The sequence below is a fragment of the Homo sapiens genome, chromosome 10 (genome assembly GCF_000001405.40).
Source record: "Homo sapiens chromosome 10, GRCh38.p14 Primary Assembly".
NCBI classification, from domain to species: Eukaryota; Metazoa; Chordata; class Mammalia; order Primates; family Hominidae; genus Homo; species Homo sapiens.
Genome location: NC_000010.11, coordinates 123,008,954 through 123,027,928, shown reverse-complemented (window position 1 = coordinate 123,027,928; position 18,975 = coordinate 123,008,954). Strand labels below are relative to the sequence as shown.

General features: G+C 42.9%; 1 protein-coding gene across 2 annotated transcripts in view, besides 2 other annotated features; it reads right to left on the bottom strand.

Annotated features, from left to right (window-relative positions):
• Nucleotides 1–18,923, bottom strand: part of ACADSB (acyl-CoA dehydrogenase short/branched chain) — a 49,285-nt gene extending 30,362 nt beyond the window's left edge. For both annotated transcript variants that reach the window (NM_001609.4, NM_001330174.3), the window contains exon 1: nt 18,858–18,923. In NM_001609.4, the coding sequence (NP_001600.1) occupies nt 18,858–18,899 (42 nt within the window). In that variant the 5' untranslated portion in view covers nt 18,900–18,923. The remainder of the gene's footprint in view (nt 1–18,857) is intronic.
• Nucleotides 6,102–6,396: a silencer, noted in NCBI's record as "tiled region #2783; HepG2 Repressive DNase matched - State 5:Enh". NCBI's record gives its function as "represses a minimal TATA promoter and a strong SV40 promoter by Sharpr-MPRA in HepG2 cells {active_cell/tissue: HepG2}" and the evidence as "EXISTENCE:reporter gene assay evidence [ECO:0000049][PMID:27701403]".
• Nucleotides 9,663–10,529: an enhancer, noted in NCBI's record as "OCT4-NANOG hESC enhancer chr10:124776916-124777782 (GRCh37/hg19 assembly coordinates)". NCBI's record gives its function as "activates a minimal SCP1, AML or CMV promoter by ChIP-STARR-seq in naive and primed H9 embryonic stem cells {active_cell/tissue: H9 hESC(naive and primed)}" and the evidence as "EXISTENCE:reporter gene assay evidence [ECO:0000049][PMID:30033119]".

Here is an 18,975-nt window from a genome sequence, read left to right as displayed (position 1 = left end):
GTCAGATCATGCCTCCTGGCATCAACTCATTGCAGGATCAAATCAGATCACACCTCATTACCCCATGCTTACAAAACCTGATCCAGCCCCAAGCTCAGGGAAGACACTGTTGTGGGAATAATCCCAGTGTTCTCCTTAACTTGTTACAAGTAATAAAATCCCCTTGCTAAATCCTCCCTAGTTGTGGACACTGGATTGATATCTGCCAAGGGGCCATACACACCCGTTGTATGGGAACAAGGGGTTACCATGTTGGCTGCTGTATTAGTCCATTTTCACACTGTGGATAAAGACATACCTGCGACTGGGAAGAAAAAGAGGTTTAACTGGACTTACAGTTCCATATGGCTGGGAGGGCCTCTGAACCATGGCAGGAGGCAAAAGGCACTTCTTACATAGCAGCAGCAGAAAATGAGAAAGAAGCAAAAGTGGAAACCCTGATAAACACATCAGATCTCATGAGACTTATTCATTATCACAAGAATAGCACGGGAAATACTGGCCCTCACAATTAAATTACTTCCCTGTGTCCCTCCCACAACATGCGAGAATTCTAGCAGATACAATTCAAGTTGAGATTTGGGTGGCGACACAGCCAAATCATATCAGCTGCATAGCTGTATCACTTGGAGAACTTAAAAAAGAGCTATCATAGCCACAACATCTAAGATTGTGATTCAAGAGTAGACTCTGCCCTGGGCATCCTTACTGCTAAAAAGCACCCCAGGTCATTCTGTTGTGCAGCTTGTGCTGGAATTTGTGGTTTACATGCCTGACTTTGGAGACTGAAAATTCAACCCATCTTATGATTTTCAAAAACCAAACCATTCACTTATGGCTTGGTTATTAGAGTTCAAGTAATAATCTTGAACTTATTAGAGTTCAAGTAATAATCTATGAACGTGCCCTACCCCATGACATCCCTTCTCCAGTTGGCTTTAATATTTTCTTCTGGTTTTAATAGGTAACATACAAACAAGGCTCAAAAAAGCTCTGTTATCACATCCTCATCCAGCCCACTTCTCAACCTCTCCCATAGGCAACCTGTTTCTTTTTTTTTTAAATTAGTTTCTTACGTATCCTTCTAGTGTTCTCTTAAAACAAATATAAGCAAATAGGAATACACGTTCTTATTTTTCTCCCTGTCCTTTCAAAAATGTAGCATACTATGTATCCTATTCTGTGCCTTCCTTTTTTTTTTTCATTTAGCAATATATTCAAGAGATATTTGCATATTAAGACTTAGAGAGCTTTTTCACTCCTTTTTAAAATTTAAATAGTTGCAAAATAGTCCACTGTGTACAAGTACCAAGGTTTTTGTTTTTAGAACTAGGCTCCACCTTAGACTGCATAGAAATCTAATAAAAGTCATTACCTCTGGGGGTAGGGTAGGCTGGGGAAGGTACAACAAAACTCCTTTTGTTGTAAGTAAACTGAAATGAGGGAGATCTTTGTGAGCATCTAGATGGTAGTGGTGGTTATGCAAATCTACACGTGATAAAATACCAAAGAATGATACATTTACATACTTCTCTAACCAACCAGGTTAAATGGTGATGATAGAGGGGCTCTGAACTAACTATAGACAGATTAACAATAGTAGAGACAAGGTTTATTTACACAGGCAGTTGTATTTTCAGAAGGCTCGGTTTAAGTTTAAATAATGTTTTTCCCTGTGGCTACTGATTGGATGTTTTCAGTTTAAAATTTTCATAATACTTTGGTGGACTATTATTAGTTCTGTTTTTCAGAGCCTTGGCCAAAACAGTATGCTGTTTTAATATTTAAATTTTTGTGCCCATCTGATAGGTGAAAAATTGTATCACAAGGCATTCTCTTTTTTGTTTGTTTTTTTGTTGTGAGACAGAGTCTCACTCTGTCTCCCAGGCTGGAGTGCAGTGGCGCCATCTTGGCTCACTGCAACCTCCCCCCAAGAACTGCTTGGGTTCAAGCAATTCTCCTGATTCAGCCTCCTGCGTAGCTGGGATTACAGGTGCACACCACCACGCCTGGCTAATTTTTGTATTTTTAGTAGAGACAGGGTTTCACCACGTTGGCCAGGCTGGTCTCCAACTCCTGACCTCAGGTGATCTGCCCGCCTCTGCCTCCAAAAGTGCTGGGATTACAGGCGTGAGCCACCACCACACTGGGCCAGGCATTCTTATATTTGTGCTTCTCTTCCTATGCATTTGAGCATGTTTTCATATGTCTACAAACCATTTGTATTTCTTTTTCTGCATACAGCTTATTCATGTTCTTTGCCCATTTTTCTATTCAATTTCTTTTTCTGTTCCCATTGATTTCCAGGAGCTTTATACAAATTAGGGAAATTAGCTCTTTGATGGCAGGAATTACAACTTTTAAAAAAGCCAGTTTGTGATTTGTCTTTTGACTTCGCTTATAGTTTTGGGTATTTTGCCATGCAAACACATTATTTTATTTATTTATTTATTTATTTATTTTTCGTGACAGGGTCTCACTTTGTCACCCAGGCTGGAGTGCAGTGATGTGATCACAGCTGACTGCAGTCTTGACCTCCCGGACTCAGATGATCCTCCCACCTCAGCCTTCCAAGTAGCTGGGACTATACGTGCACACCATTCCCAGCTAATTTTTTGTTGTTGTTCTTGTTGTTGCAGAGACGAGGTCTCGCTATGTTGCCCAGGCTGATGTCAAACTCCTAGATTCAAGCGATCCTTGTGGCTAGGCCCCCGCAAAGTGCAGTGATTGCAGACATGAGCGACTGTGCCTGGCCTAAAAGCCTTTTATTTTCATTAATTACTTTTTCTTCAGGGTGATCTGGTTTAACATTTGTTTTGTTTTCTTTTTGTTTTCATGACAGTCTCACTCTGTCGCCCAGGCATGAGGGCAGTGGCACGCCCACTGCTCACTGGAACCTCAACTTCCCAGGGTCAGGTGATCCTCCCACCTCAGCCTCCAGGATAGCTGGGACTGAGGCAGGAAATAGGGTCTGGAGGCAGGGAACCTAAGGGTTTCCTAGAACTAAATTAAATGGAAAGCCTCTAACCTTCTAAAGCCAAGTAAATAATTTTGTAACTATACTTCAGCTATGGCAGGAAACATCATATACCAAGTAACCAATGGGAAACCTCTAGAGTGTATTTGAACCCCAGAAAATTCTGTAACTGGGCCCTTGAGCTGCCTGCTTGGGCCCAGCCCCACGAGCTGCTTGCTTGGGCCCGGCCCCACCCTGTTAGGTGTGCTTTCATTTTCAATACATCTTTGCTTTTGTTGCTTCATTCTTTTCTTCCTTTGTTTGTGCATTTTGTCCAACTCTTTGTTCAAAATGCCAAGAACCTGGACACCCTACACTGGTAGCATAGTTTGGTTAGCCAGCCAGGTGGTAAGCCCAAAGTTTGGGGTTTATTTTTCACCTTTTCCTTTCTGCTCCATCCAGGGGAATCTCTCTCTCTTTTCCTTTCCAACTCAGGATCCTTGGTGGGCAGCACCTAAACACGGAGGCAACTGCAGGTTTCTGGCCAGGGCCACTCTCCAGTGTTGCCTGAAGGCCAAGGAGTGACTGAGGATAGCTGCCCTCCCTGGAAGAGGTAAGGACTCTTCTATCATTTCCGGCTATGGTCCCTAATCCCTACATGTGGCGCAGCTAATCTGGAGAGAACTCGAACATGTTTCAGTTAACTTAAACCTTCTTTTCTTATACTAAATTCTTCCCTTCCTCTATTTGACTGGCTAAGGACAAAAGAAACCCACTCAGCCTCCAGCTCCTATCATTACCATTCATGGCTATCACTTTAGTGGAATGGGAAGCATGGGAAAGCGTGGCCTTATCAAATTATGAGGATGCTAAAAGTTGGGGATTACATCCAGGAACCAAAGGAAAGCTCATAGTAGGCCATTGCCTCTGGAGGGAAAACATGCAAAGTGGGATTGGTGCCCACCTAAGGTCAGAGATGTCTGACACTCTAAGACTGGACCCCAAAGGGGGACACCTCAGGGGATCGAACTCCAGACTTCAACCTCTCCAAAGGGGACACCCTAGGCAGAGGTTCTGAGGTCCAGTACTAAGCCCTCCTTAGAATTTTCTTTCACAGATGACAATGGGAAATTTTGCAATACTGTTTGGTCCCAATATTGTTTGGAATCTGGAGTTTGCTGCTGAATGGGAAAGTGGGATGGAATTGCATGTACCCAGGCTTTTGTGCTGCTGTTCTAAGCAGGGGGCCTGGTTAGCGAGGGATGCTCTCCTTTAGTGCTGTTTGGCCCCAGTGTTCTTTGGAGCCTGGGGAGGTTTGGCCTTTAAAAACCAAACTGCCATGGAAACTGCTTTACCCGCAGTTTTGGTTCACAGCCTTCATTGGATTATCTATTGGGGCATACAAAGTAAAACTGGTGAGCCTGTATTGCTATCTCATGGCTAGAGTTCCAAGGTAAAAGCTACTGGATCTTTGTTTGTGTGTGTGTGTGTATACCTGTCTAGATGTGTTTATTTGTATGTATACTTACTATTATATGTTGTTTCTACCAAATTGGCTTTTAAGTAAAAGAGTGCTCATAAATTAAGTACATAAGTCTAAGCAAATTTCAAGTTCACATGACTTAAGTATAAACAAGCTGGTTTTAAAACTATTGATAAAACAAAAATAGAAATGCCTTCAGAATTGTCAACATACATTTTTGTCTGGATTTTATATTTGTCTCTGCTAGATATTTTGAGGTGTCAGGGTTTGGCATAGAAGGTTATAAAACTATAAACCCAGCCAAAACAAAATGATCTTCGTTTGCATGCCTTTTTGTTTGTTTGTTTTGACAAATGAGAGTAATTTAATGTTGTTAGCCAAGTCTTCTGAGTTATCGGTAAAAATATCTGTGTATTTAACTTTAAGGCTCTTACTTAGGTTTAGGTGAGCACTGGATGTTCACTGGCTATTAAAAACAATTATAGTGTCTAATATCTCAGTTTGCAGAAGTAATCTAGATAAACTGTTGAAAATGAAGGAATTGAGTACAGTAAATGGGATAAATGTTTTAGGTAAATTTTTTGTGTAAATTAAAATCTTAAAGTTAATTTTGATGCTCATTTACTATCTGACTCATTTTCAATTAAGAAAGGGTTGTGATATGGGGAAATATGTTTCTAAAATTGTCCAAATGTTCTTATGTATAAATGCCCATATCTGATACTTCAGGATTTCTTGTTCTTTATGGTTTCATTAAAGTTTTAGGTTACTAAGGATATCCTTGGGTTACTAAGGATAAGAATTCGAATTAACACATAATTCTGAATACAGAATATGCCAGAAAGGCTTGTGTTATTAGTGAGAAAAAGTATAATTTTGTGTAATTCAGAAGTTATCTAAAAGTTAGCTCAAATCACAGATTTGAAAAGGTTCCCTTATAACCACGTGCGGTACTTTCTCTTAGTCTCCACTACCCAGACCAGGAATTTTGGGGTTCATGTCATAGTTAGCTCTAAAATAATCTTAAGTAGTTGGAAGTCTTTGCAAGCTCAAAATTAACTACTCTAGACTCCTTCTGGGAGGGGCAGTGGAGATTGTCCAATGCAGTGGCTCAGTAGCTGTGGCTTCATCATTTTACAATGGTGTCATAGGTTCAATCTTGGCTTGGGGAATGAGTCCTTTCTGGTTTGATATCTGTGTGACATTTACCATTTGCTGATTCTCTTCCCCTCCATGAACTGTTTCAAATATTCCTTTCTCTGAGAACCTGGGAGGTTACCTTTGGTAAAGTTCAAAGCCAGAAATATTGGCCACTTGGCATGGCTAGAGTTGGGTAATAGGAGATTTAAAAGAATTTGTTTTTAAAGAGCATTATGGTTAAAAGCCTAATTAAAAGTGGATATCCAAGCTATATGTATACTTAAAAGGCCTTTATGTATTTTTTTTCTCTTCTTGAATCTTGTTTTGCTGGAAAGAAGCTTTTTTTAATTCTCTTCACAGTTGACTGAGTTATTTTTCTCCATTTTGTCTTGCCACTCTTAATGCACACATGAGAGGCCCTAAGATCACTTCTGAGAGCATGGGACTCTTTGGGAAAAACAGAAAAGTCACCAAGGACCCTATTTTGGGAGAAAAACCCTGTTTTCCTCAGAACCCCAAGAATTAAAAGTGCTATGATAGATCCCTCTCAAAATCTATTCTTGTCTTCCAGCTATATCTGCTTATTAAGTCATAGAAACTGCATGTTTTCCTGGCCCTGTTGCGTGAAGAGCTCCACCCTGAGGCCAGTAATCCAATTAGCAGATTGGCAAATGAAAAATCTTACAACTACTGCACGTTTTGTCTATCTGTGTAGTTATATATGTGTTATGCGTGTGATGTTTATATAAAAAAGACATGCAAGGTGTGTAAAGAAAGTAAAATATGTTTTTGGTAAAAGATTATAAGAAGCCATGGGAATGTAAATATTTGCCTAGTTTAGAGGGTTAAAGGATTGTTTTCAGTTAAGTAAGATAAAGCTAAAGGTTTGAACAAGTTGTGGAAGGTTTGTAAAAATTAATCTTGTAAAAGAAATTCTCTGTGTGAACATATTGACTACATTCAAAAGGGTATTATTTGATTTTTCCATAAATTGAGCATTGGAATAAAAGCACAAGGTTTTCTTAAGGCACTGATGTACTCTTTAACAAAAATTTGTAAAGGGATTATGAGAATCCCATCTTATAGTCAAACTGATTAAGATTGAATGGATTTGTCTATAAGGTTTCATTTTAAAAATAAAATACTGGGGTTAATATTAATGGTGGACTAATGCAGGGGTGAAATTTGGCTTTCTCTCCCTTGAACACAATTTTCATTTAATTGTAAAGGATAATGAAAGATGCTTGTTTGCCTTGCAAATAAACTACCAAATAGAAGAAGAAGACAGGAGACAGATTGTTTGGAAAGCTAAGTCTTCTTATGTATGTATTTATTTATTTATTTATTGAGACGGAGTTTTGCTCTGTCACCCAGGCTGGAGTGCAGTTGCACGATCTTGGCTCACTGCAACCTCTGCCTCCCGGGTTCAAGCGAGTCTCCTGCCTCAGCCTCCTGAGTAGCTAGGATTACAGCCGCGTGCCATCACACCCAGCTAATTTTTGTATTTTTAGTAGAGACGGGGTTTCACCATGTTGGTCAGCCTGGTCTGCTGGCACTATGGCAACCATTTCAAAATATGTCAAAGTACATTTTGGGGTAAAATATTTTGATTTGCTGCACTGGCAAGGGAGATGAGCAAATGGATCTCTCATACATTGTTTTTGAGAATGTAAAATGGTACAGTCACTCTGGAAAACAGTTTAGCTGTTTCTTATGCAATTATCATATGACCCAGCAGTTGTACTCTTTTATATTTATTCAAGAGAAGTAACAACAGAAGTTCAAAGATCTGCACACAAATGTCCACAGCAGCTTTAGCCACAGTAGTAAAAAACTGGAAACAATCCAGATGTCCTTCAGTGGGTGAATGGTTAAACATCTGTGGTACATCCCTATCATGGTGCAGCGACCCATTTGGAATCCCAGAGTTGGCATAATGCTTCTTTTAAGCTGAAGACATCTGAGATTCAACAAGTGGAGGAAAAGCCTTCTAGGAGCTTCCCTTAACTGACTAAAGCAGCAACCTCTGGGAAATGAGGCTATTAGAAATTCCCCCTCCTGGGGAGTTTTTGGCCCTGAAGATGAATAGGCAAATATCATTACACAATTTCTTACTACCTGTTTGTCTTTCCCAAAGAGACCTATTTGTTTTTCCTATAGAGGCCCTTTCTCCCCCTTCCTTTATATACCTAAGGTAGGTATATAAACAAAACCCTTTAACTATTTAATGAGCCAGGTACTTGCTCATTATGCATAGGAAATAAACCTTTTACTACTGTTAATCTGTCTTTTGTTATTTAATTTCCAAGCCCCAGTCACTGAACCTAAGAGGGTGGATGAAAATTTTTTTCCTTCCCTCACAATAAATTCTATTCAGCAAAAAAACAAAAAAAAGACTGGATGATTCTATTTATCTAATATTCTTGAAATGACAAATTTATAAAGCTAGAGACTAGTGTTTACCGAGGATTAGAGACCAGGACAGGAGGTTAGGGGTAGCGAGTGGTTATAAGAGGACAAACAACACAAGGGATCCTTATGCTGTTGGAACTGTCTTGTAGCTTGACTATAGCAGTGGATACACAAACATATGTGATAGAACTGCACAGTCCTACACACACATATACATGTAAAACTGGGAATATCTGAAAAAGCTTGCTGTATCATATTGTAAAAGTTGTCAGAATCAAAATGGAGTCAGTAATGTAAAACAAACAAACAAACCTTGACAAATAGAGCGAGGCAAGGCCATGAAAAAAGGGTTCTCATATTTGTAAGCCTGATAAAAAACTATCACCAAAGACTGCAAACACCAAAATATTGCACAAAGGCCATCACAATCTTACAGAAAAAATGCTTCTGCAAGGCCTATCTGCCCCAGTAACTGCCTGTTCAATCCTGGACTGGCGTCATCCTTGTTATTGATCTTGTAGCCAACTATAATTATTTTAAAACAATTATGTAATCCTATGGCACGTGTATTTCCATGGCAATGCTCTATTCCCAAAGAAGCATCTTTTCTTTCAGAGAGCCTCTCTCTGTTATTTAGGTTGACAGTATCAATGTCAATTTCCTGGTTGTGATATTGTACTATAGGTTGGTAAAGTGTTACACAGGGGCAAATCAGATAACAAGATGCAGGATCTATCTGTATTTCTTTTTATAACTGCATAAGAATCTACAATTATCTGAAATGAAGTTTAAACAAATTCTCTCACCACCCCCAAAGGAAAATTAAACTACTTTATGGGCTTTAAAATTACAGGAATTGATACGGCTTATGAGAATTGTGTCAACAATTTATTAGAATTTAATGAAAAAATACTTAACACTATATTCAGTTTTGATTTTGATTTCCTAAGCCAAATTGTTCATACCTGCTTGATATGGTTTGGCTGTGTCCCCACCCAAATCTCATCTTGAATTGTAGCTCCCATAATCCCCATGTGTCATGGGAGGGACCCAGTGGGAGGTAACTGAATCATGGGGGCGGGTTGTTCCTGTGTTGTTCTCGTGATAGTGAATAAGTCTCACAAGATCTGATCGTTTTATAAAGGGCAGTTCCCCTGCACTTCTCTCTTGCCTGCTGCTATGTAAGACGTGCCTTTGCTCCTCCCTCACCTTCCTCACCACAATTGTGGGGCCTCGTCAGCCACGTGGAACTGCGAATCCATTAAATCTCTTTTTCTTTATAAATTACCCAGTCTTGGGTATGCCTTTATTAGCAGTGTACCAATGGATTAGATTTTAAGTTGATCCCAATTTTATATCCCCAAGCCAAAACTTCTATACCAGAATCTGTCCAACCTCTGCTTGCTTTCTCCATAAATAATAGCTTCTGTTCTAGGTATTCTCCAAAACTGCTAAAAACGCAACCTTTCCCATCTACCAGTCTCTGATTCTTCATTCTAGTCTTTAGGAGTTCCTAACAATGCCTTGCCCTTTTAAGAATTATAGTGATTCCCTCAAAAGAGGGTTAAATAAGCCAAGACAAGACACAAGGCAAGGGAATCAACACAAAGGAAATGGGTTTGCCTGTAGTGTGACCTTGGCCAAGTCAACAATTTCTCTTTCCCAAATTACCAGTGGACAAAAATGAAACCAGACACTCACTTCTATTTTCAAAGAAATTTTAAAAGATAGGATTATTATGGAGCTAAAGTATTTTTTAATCATGTGTAAACCAAAAATAAGATTCTAAGGCCCCCCAAACCAGCTGAACAGACTTCCTCCCTAGCCAGGGGTCTTAAAATTTCACCTGAGAGACTGTTTCAGGCCATGATGGGAAGTGGGGGTCGAACATACCTCATTATACCTCACCAGCATGAACATCAACACAGAACTTTAGGCCTAATAAGAAGCATTTCAATCCATTCTCTCTGAAGTCGGCTACCTGGAGGCTTCATCTGCATGATTAAACTTTGGTCTCTACAACTTCTTATCACAACCCAGACATTCCTTTCTATTCACCCCAGGTTTTTAGCCCAACTCAACCAATTGTCAACCAGAAAATGTTTAAATTTACCTATAGCCTGGAAGCCACCCCCGACTTTCATTATGGGAGTTATTAAAAAATTATTTTAGGCCTATAGAGAGGAAAAGGTGTCCTTGGGAAGTTTTTGTTTCTTTTAAAGCAGCTCCAGGAACGTTTCTTGTCTAGCAGGAAAGCCCGGCTCTTCAAGCTGGGACAGCAAGCTTAGACATGCAAATGCCGGCCATTAGAAACTGTGTCCACCCGGTGAGGTGGCTCACACCTGTAATCCCAGCACTTAGGGAGGCCTAGGTGGATGGATCACGTGAGGTCAGGAGTTCCAGACCAGCCTGACCAAGATGGTAAAATCCTGTCTCTACTAAAAATACAAAAATTAGCCGGGCATGGTGGTAGGTGCCTATAATCCCAGCTGCTTGGGAGGCTGAGGCAGGAGAATCACTTGAACCCGGGAAGAGGAGGTTGCAGTGAGCTGAGATCACGCATTGCACTCCAGCCTAGGCAACAAGAATGAAACTCTGTCTCAAAAAAATAAATAAATAAATATAAGGTAAAGGAGTTGGGCTTGCCTTTATTGTGACCTTAGCCAAGTCAACAATTTCTCTTTCCCAAATTACCAGTGGACAAAAATGAAACAAGACACTCACTTCTATTTTCAAAGAAATTTTAAAAGATAGGACTATTATGGAGTTTAAATTTTTTTTTAATCACATAATTACTTGGGTCCAACAACTTAACAGGCATTGGGAATTTCTTCAACTCACCCTCTTTTTCAGGGAAGATAGTCAGAAGAAACACTTAAATAGATGCCAAAAGACCAGAGTTCCATATCAGGGGTTGCATATTCAACACTGGCTGGGGACAGGGGGTTACCAAATTGAGTGAAGGGAGCATGAACCACGTTCACAACCTCCTCAGTATGCATTCCACCAGCTCCATTAGCTGGCCCTGCCATGTCTTGCACTTCTCAAAACACACCGCTTCTGCTCTCACAGGTTTGTTTTTTTTATGTGACACAAATTCTGTATGTTTGCTTTTAAATATCCTTTTCCTTCTTTTGCTCCAATTCTGAATAAAACACATATGTCACAGAATTTCCTCTGATATCCTACTAAGTCTCCTTTTGCTTCTTTGCTTCTCAACATTTACCCAGGATGGTCTGAACTGTACCCCAAAGGCTGACTTGTCCACTCCTGTTTCTTCACTATCCTTCCGATGCCCCATACCCATTTATGGTTTTGGCTAGCATTTATAGCTCTTAAAGCAAACTAAATATTGCCTGAGAAGGACTCCGTATGTCTATATTTGAGTCCTTGTGGATGAACTGTAACCTAGCTTAATAGGTAGACAAGATTGAAAGCCTAACTTAGGAGTATGCGCCTGTAACAGTAGCTGCGTCTTGGGCAATCCCAGCAGCCATCCTTCAACCACTCATGGACTGCTGAGTGTTCTAACTGTGTTCAAATAAGACAATTGCAAATCTGTAACCAATCCAGCCACTGTGTACCTCACTTCCGATTTGTCACTTCCCTTCATTTGTCTATAAATTTGTTATGACCACAAGGCATCCCTGGAGTCTCTCCAAATCTGCTGTGGTTCTGGGGGCTGCCCAATTTGCTGCTCAATTAAACTCCTTTAAATTTAATTCAGATGAAGTTTTCCTTTTACCATAGCTTTAGCACTGGTCCACTTTCTAGACCCATTTCTGACCAGCTTCTAAGACACTTTCAGTTGTAAGTTTTATTAATACCTAAAACGTGTCTAAAACAGAATTACCTTTCTTCTGTCACCCTAAATTACTTTTTCTCCAGATGTCCCAATCTTTGCCTATCACTAAGCTATTTCATTTAGAAAATGTGTAGTCCATCTAATTCCTCCATTTCAAGATAATTCCCACATCTTCTCAAGTCTTCTTTTATTAACATGTCTTCCTTTCTGATCATCGGTGCTATCACCCTCATTGAGGGCCTTGTTACTCTAAAAGTGGACTTGTGAAATGGTCTAAGTGGGATGTGGCTTCAGAGTCTCACGTGATGAGTTCCTTTTGTGAGCTGCTGACTGTTTTATCTTGTAAACTCCTTTGCAAACAGCACCTTAAAATCTCAATGGCTGCTATTGAAATCTTTCAACAAAAATCTTTGAAACTGTAGATCAATTTCTATAGCCAACAAACTGAGTATGGCAAATAGTTTTAGAGAGAAAGTTCCCTACCAGGTTATAAGGAGAAAGGCCACCTTTCCCCTCCTTCATGGAGTACACTGTTACACAGGTCTACATCCGTGGTTCTCAGTCCAGTAATTTTGCCCCCACGGGACATTTGGCCATGGATGGAGACATTTTGGGTTGTCATAGCTCAGGCAAGCTATTGGCCTCTTATGAGTAGAGGCCAGGGATACTGCTTAGCATCCTACAAAACACAGAAAACCTGGTCTAGCCCTTACAGAGAATGAGTCAAGATAATGTGGGCCTTCTTAGACAAGGTGGCATGAGGAACAACAACAACAAAAACGACAATGTAGGCCCAAGACAGGGCAAGTGTGTGAGGATCCCGAGAGAAAGGAGAAAGACTCTTTGATGGTTGCCAGGGAGAGTGTCTTTATGGTTACTTAGTCTTCCTAGCACCAGAGAGAGATCAACGGAAGACAAAGATATATTTGCATGTGCAAAGTAACTGCCATTTCTGTGTTGAGTAGTAAACATTATAAATTCTTGTGTTTTGGTAAATAAAAGGGCTCTTCTCCAGGACTGTGGGCAACCCTGTCTGGGCAACACCCATGTAGGAACTGGCAGAAGAAATCCAGGCTTGCTTCACTCTGTGATTCTTTCTAGCTTCCTAGATTGGAGAAGCCAAAACTGCTTGGCAGCTATCAGCTCCTCACTGCTTTGAGATCAAGGATAAACTTAACCCTTAGGCAGTTACCATCTGAACCCATTCCACCCTTCTGCAAAACTGTTACATCACCTATAGTGGCATATTATTTCTTAAACAAGCTGAGCATATTCCTACCTCTACACCTTTGCGTGCACATTTCCTTGCCCTGGAATCCGCACCCCTCTGCTGCTTTACCTAAAACTGCTCCTTTGAATGGTCACTTGAAGCCCCATCTCCTATAAGCATATCTGCCCATATTATTTATTTAGCATTAGCAACATGCTATCTTCTACTGTTCTAAAATTCATTTTTAAAACAGATACCCTACCTCCCCAATTAAAAATGTAATTTTTTTTGATGTCAAGAACCCTGTTGTAAACCTACAGATCCCCAAAACTTACCTGTGTACTTTGCGTAAGGCAATGATACCCTAAAACATCCTATCAAAGTTATTGGTAATGTGTTCTGCCTACATTAATAGCTAGTGTTGTCCAGGCACAGTGGCTCATGCCTGCAATCCCAGCACTTTGGGAGGCCAAGGCGGGAGGATCACTTGAGTCCAGGATTTTGAAGCTTCAGTGAGCCATGATCTGTATCACTGCACTCCAGCCTGGGTGACAGAACAAGATCCTGTCTCTAAAAAACTAACTTAATTAATTAATTTTAAAAATAGCTAATGTTTACTGATTATTTATAATGAGTCAGCTGCTCTAAGTACTTAAGAACATTTATTATGAGTCAGCTGTTCCAAGTTCTCAGGTTAAGAGATGTGTCATTCCAAAGAGAAAGGCAAGAGGGTGAGAGAAGGTGAGAGTGAGAAATGAGGGGAGAGAAAGAGAGAGCAAGAGAAGGCCAAAGTTGTCCTTTAATGAGGAACTCATTCTCTCAAAAACAGCATTAATAATTTACGAGGCCAGTTCCCCTATTTAGAGGTGACAGCATGCTGGCAGCCCTCGCTTGCTCTCGGTGCCTCGCCTCCTCGGCCTCGGCGCCCATTCTGGCCACGCTTGAGGAGCCCTTCAGCCCACCGCTGCACCGTGGGAGCCCTTCTCTAGGCTGGCCAAGGCTGGAGCCAGCTCCCTCGGCTTGCGGGGAGGTGTGGAGGGAGAGGCATGGGCGGGAACCAGGGCTGCGTGGCGCTTGTGGGCCAGCTAGAGTTCCGGGTGGGCGTGGGCTTGGCAGGCCCTGCACTCGGAGCGGCCGGCAGGCCCTGCGGCCCCGGGCAGTGAGGGGCTTAGCACCCAGGCCAGCAGCTGTGGAGGGTGCGCCGGGTCCCCCAGCAGTGCTGGCCCACCGGCGCCGCGCTCGATTTCTAGCCAGGCCTTAGCTGCCTCTCCGCGGGGCAGGCCCCGGGACCTGCAGCCCACCATGCCTGAGTCTCCCCGCCACCGCCAGTGGGCTCCTGCACGGCCTGAGCCTCCCCGACGAGCGCCACCCCCTGCTCCACTGCACCCAGTCCCATCAACCGCCCAAGGGCTGAGGAGTGCAGGCACGAGGCGCGAGACTGGCAGGCAGCTCCACCTGCGGCACTGGTGCAAGATCCACTGGGTGAGGCCAGCTGGGCTCCTGAGTCTAGTGGGGACTTGGAGAACCTTTGTGTCTAGCTAAGGGATTGTGAGTGCACCAATCAGCACTCAGTGTCTAGCTCAAGGTTTGTGAACACACCAATCAGCACCCTGTGTCTAGCTCAGGGTTTGTGGATGCACCAATCGGTACTCTGTATCTAGCTAATCTGGTGGTGACTTGAAGAATCTTTATGTCTAGCTAAGGGATTGTAAATACACCAATCAGCACTCTGTATCAAGCTCAGGGTTTGTGGATGCACCAATCGGTACTCTGTATCTAGCTAATCTGGTGGGGACTTGAAGAATCTTTATGTCTAGCTAAGTGATTGTAAATACACCAATCAGCACTCTGTATCAAGCTCAAGGTTTGTAAATGCACCAATCCGCACTCTGTGTCTAGTTCAGGGTTTGTAAATACACCAATCAGCACTCTGTATCTAGCTAATCTAGTGGGGAGGTGGAGAACTTTTGTGTCTAGCTCAGGGATTGTAAATGCACCAATCAGCACCCTGTCAAAACAGACCAATCCAATCAGCTGTCTGTAAAACAGACCAATCAGGCTGCCGAGCCAGCAGTGGCAATCCAATCGGGTCCCCTTCCACACTGTGGAAGCTTTGTTCTTTAGCTCTTTGCAATAAATCTTGCCGCTGCTCAATCTTTGAGTCCACACTGCCTTTATGAGCTGTAACACTCACCGCGAAGGTCTGCAGCTTCACTCCTGAAGCCAGCGAGGCCACAAGCCCACCGGGAGGAGCGAACAACTCCAGATGTGCCGCCTTAAGAGCTGTAACACTCACCGTGAAGGTCTGCAGCTTCACTCCTGAGCCGGTGACACCACAAACCCACCAGAAGGAAGAAACTCCGAACACATCCGAACATCAGAAGGAACAAACTCCAGACACACCGCCTTTAAGAACTGTAGCACTCACCGCGAGGGTCCGTGGCTTCATTCTTGAAGTCAGTGAGACCAAGAACCCACCAATTCTGGACACACTATGACCCAAACACTTCCCATTAGGCCCCACCACTCAAAACCTCCGCACTGGGGATCAAGCTTCCAACACATGAATTTTGGGGGACACATTCAAACCATTTGTGTTCTCTCTACCTGGATGCCAAATATATGTCCAGAAAAAATACTTCTGGTTTTGTTGAAGAGCAAAAAGTTAAACAACAAGAATTATATGTATTTTGGCAGCTGCTGTCTGGCAGATGTCCAGAGAATTAACTGAACAAGAATTCACGTCAAGGATATTTGTCAAGAATCACCTCTTGGCTGGGTGCAATGGCTCATGCCTGTAATCCCAGCATTTTGGAGGGTGAGGTGGGAGGATCGCTTGAGGCCAGGAGTTCCAGACCAGCCTGGCCAACACAGTGAGACCTCATCTCTACAAAACACTTTAAAAATTAGCCAGGTGCAGTGACACATGCCTGTGGTCCTAGCTCCCGGGGAGCTGAGGTCAGAGAATCACTTGAGCCAGGAGTTCAAGGTTACGGTGAGCTATGATCACGCCACTACACTCCAGCCTGGGCAAGAGAGTGAAAACTTGTCTAAAAAAAAAAAAAATCATCTCTTAAAAGACATCAAGCGGCCTGGTGTGGTGGCTCACGCCTGTAATCCCAGCATTTTGGGAGGCCATGGCGGGTGGATCATGAAGTTAGGAGTTTGAGACCATTTCCATCTTGCTGACCAAGATGGTGAAACCCCATCTGTACTAAAACTACAAAAATTAGCCAGGCAAGGTGGCAGGCGCCTGTAATCCCAGTTACTCGGGAGGCTGAGGCAGGAGAATCGCTCGAATCCGGGTGGCATAGGTTACAGTGAACTGAGATCGCACCACAGCACTCCAACCTGGGCGACAGAGTAAGACTCCGTCTCAAAAAAAAAAAAAAAAAGATATCAAGCTACATTAAAATGCTTTGGAACCACAGGTTAACTACAAGGTCCAATTCTCCACTAATTGGGTTGCTTAGACCAAATGGGCAGGACAGTTCTAATCCATCTGCAGGACTAGGAGAGACCTTCTGAGAAGGCAGGGGTAGGCTGAAGGTCAGCATTGCAATCTGATTGTTATGTGACTTGGGAACACTGGTTATTGCCTCCGAGTTCCTCATTTGCAAGATGAAGCCACTAATATACCTACTTCAGAGGTTTACAGGAAGAGTAAATAGGGTAGTGGGTGTAAAATGCTGTCCCTGGTCTACAATAAGTGAGTAAATGCTAGCTTTCCATTTGCCTCTGGATAGAAACCAAAATTAGCCCTACCTTGCATTTCTCCCCACTCCATGCCACTTGTGTCCACAGCCATCTACCTACACTGTGGCATGAGGAAACTCCAAAGCTCTTGACCTTCAATGGCTCCTAACAATCCAAAAGGATCAACCCCCAATTCCCTAAAGTGGCCTCAGTCCCCTTTTGTTGCAGTTTTCTGACCACTCCTTTCCCCTCCTAAACTCTAACCCAGCTTCCAAAGAGCCTATCACTTCCCCAATGGTCCTAGTCATTTCTATCTTCTGAATCTGCACGCAGACTGTAGCCCCTTAGGATTTGTTCCACACCTACATGACATGGGGTTAGTTGCACATAGTTCTAACCTTTCCTCTAAAAGATAAACTTCTTGGAGGTAGAGTATTTTATTCATTATTACATCTGGCATAGCACACAATGCTTCGTGCATGGCAGTAAGAGCTGATATTTACCGAGAGCTGACTACATTCCGAGCACTATTCTAAGTGCCTTACATGAACATATGAGCTCATTTAATTTTCACAACAATTTTGGAATACGCACAATTATTCTCTCCATTTACAGACCAGGAAACTGAGACCCAAAGCATAACCTGTCCAAGGTTATACCACTAGGAAGTGAGAGGGCCTGGGTTCAGATCCAAGCAGCCTAGCTACAGAACCTACGTTCTTAACCACTATGCTACAGTCGATGTTCAATCAATTTAGCTAATTTATGTAAAAGAGCTTCAAAAACTATAAAGGACTATAAGCCACAATAAACCAAAAGTTCAAACAAAATAGGTTTTTGATATCTCTAAGGACGGGGAGACAGTAGTATATGAAGGTTAAGTTTAGAATCAGACCAGAGTTCGAATACCACCAGCTCTATCCCTTTCTATCTGTGGGCAAGCTATTATTCTTTTTCAGCATCTGCAAGATTAAACTACTTGTTAAGATGGTTGTGAGAATTGAGATGACTCAGGTAGAACGAGAACGTGCCTACCACAGAGTATGCGGTCAATAAATTTTGGCTCTAAAACAGAGTCAAATTGTAAAACCAAAGAAATTTTCTTTGCTAAGTTATTAACCAACAATTATAAACAGTATTAAACAATAATCACTTACTGTTTTTTATTGCACTTCAGGCCTGTAAAACAGTCAAATAACATTAATTATCTCTAATAAGAAAAAGGGTCAGAGTTCTGCCTCTGGGCATAAGACTGAAGCAGCAGTTGGAAAGCCTAACTCATTAAAGCAAATGCAAAGGAAACATTAAAAGCACACGTAAGCAGTGGGAAAATTCCCAGTGAAGTGTACTGACAAATACAAGTGTATCCAAATGTGTATGTTCTGAAAAGCATGCTATATAATAGGTCCAAGGGGTGAAGAGCATAGGATGTTAACACAGGGGCTGTTAACAGTTTGTGTGGGTGCACAGATAAGAATTAAGCACAACAAGAGGCTGGTTTCAGCTTAAGTTCATGGAAGAGGGACCGGCACCGGCTCCGGCTCCCCTGGGCGGCGGTGAGTCTATCCACGGAAGATACCCAGGCTCCAGACATGAGATAAGGGGCAGAGGGAACTCTGTCCCTGGCCGGGAAGCCCGAACAACTCCGAAGTCCCTTACTACCTTTGAGCGGGGCCGCGGAAGGAAGGACAGGGAGACACCTGCTCAGAATGAGACTGGGCCTATATTTTAACTATCTTTTTTGGGGGAGGGGGTGTGAAATGTAATCACTCGGGAAAGGTGCGTTAGGGCATCAGGGAGGTGACATCTGTGCAAAATGCATCCAGAGATCCAGAGATCCAGACTCGGTGGCTCTCAGGACGCAACGGCCTGCAAAGGACATCTTGCGGACGCGACCCTCCGACTCCACTCAAGGTACTTGCTCCGCCAAAGCAGCTTCTAGACAGCCCCGACCCCCTTGCCACCAGCTGCCTCCACCAGAGGCCTGAAGGGGGTCGGGGTCATAGACTGCCCGCGGGTAAAGAGTCTGGGGACCCAGGACGTGGAGCGGGGCTCAGGCCGGCGCCCCGAGGCCCGTTAGAAGGCTCTGCCAGCTGCGATTCCAGGGGCCAAGGTCGCCCTGGGCCCCCAGGACGCCAGCCTCGAACGCACTCACCAGCCTGCTGCCGCGCAGCAACCGCACTGCCAGGCCCTCCATCCTCGCCGCAGGCCTCTCCGCTCTGCGCCTCTGGGTCTCTAGCCAGCCCCTGGGAGTTACCCGAGCAAGGCCCCGC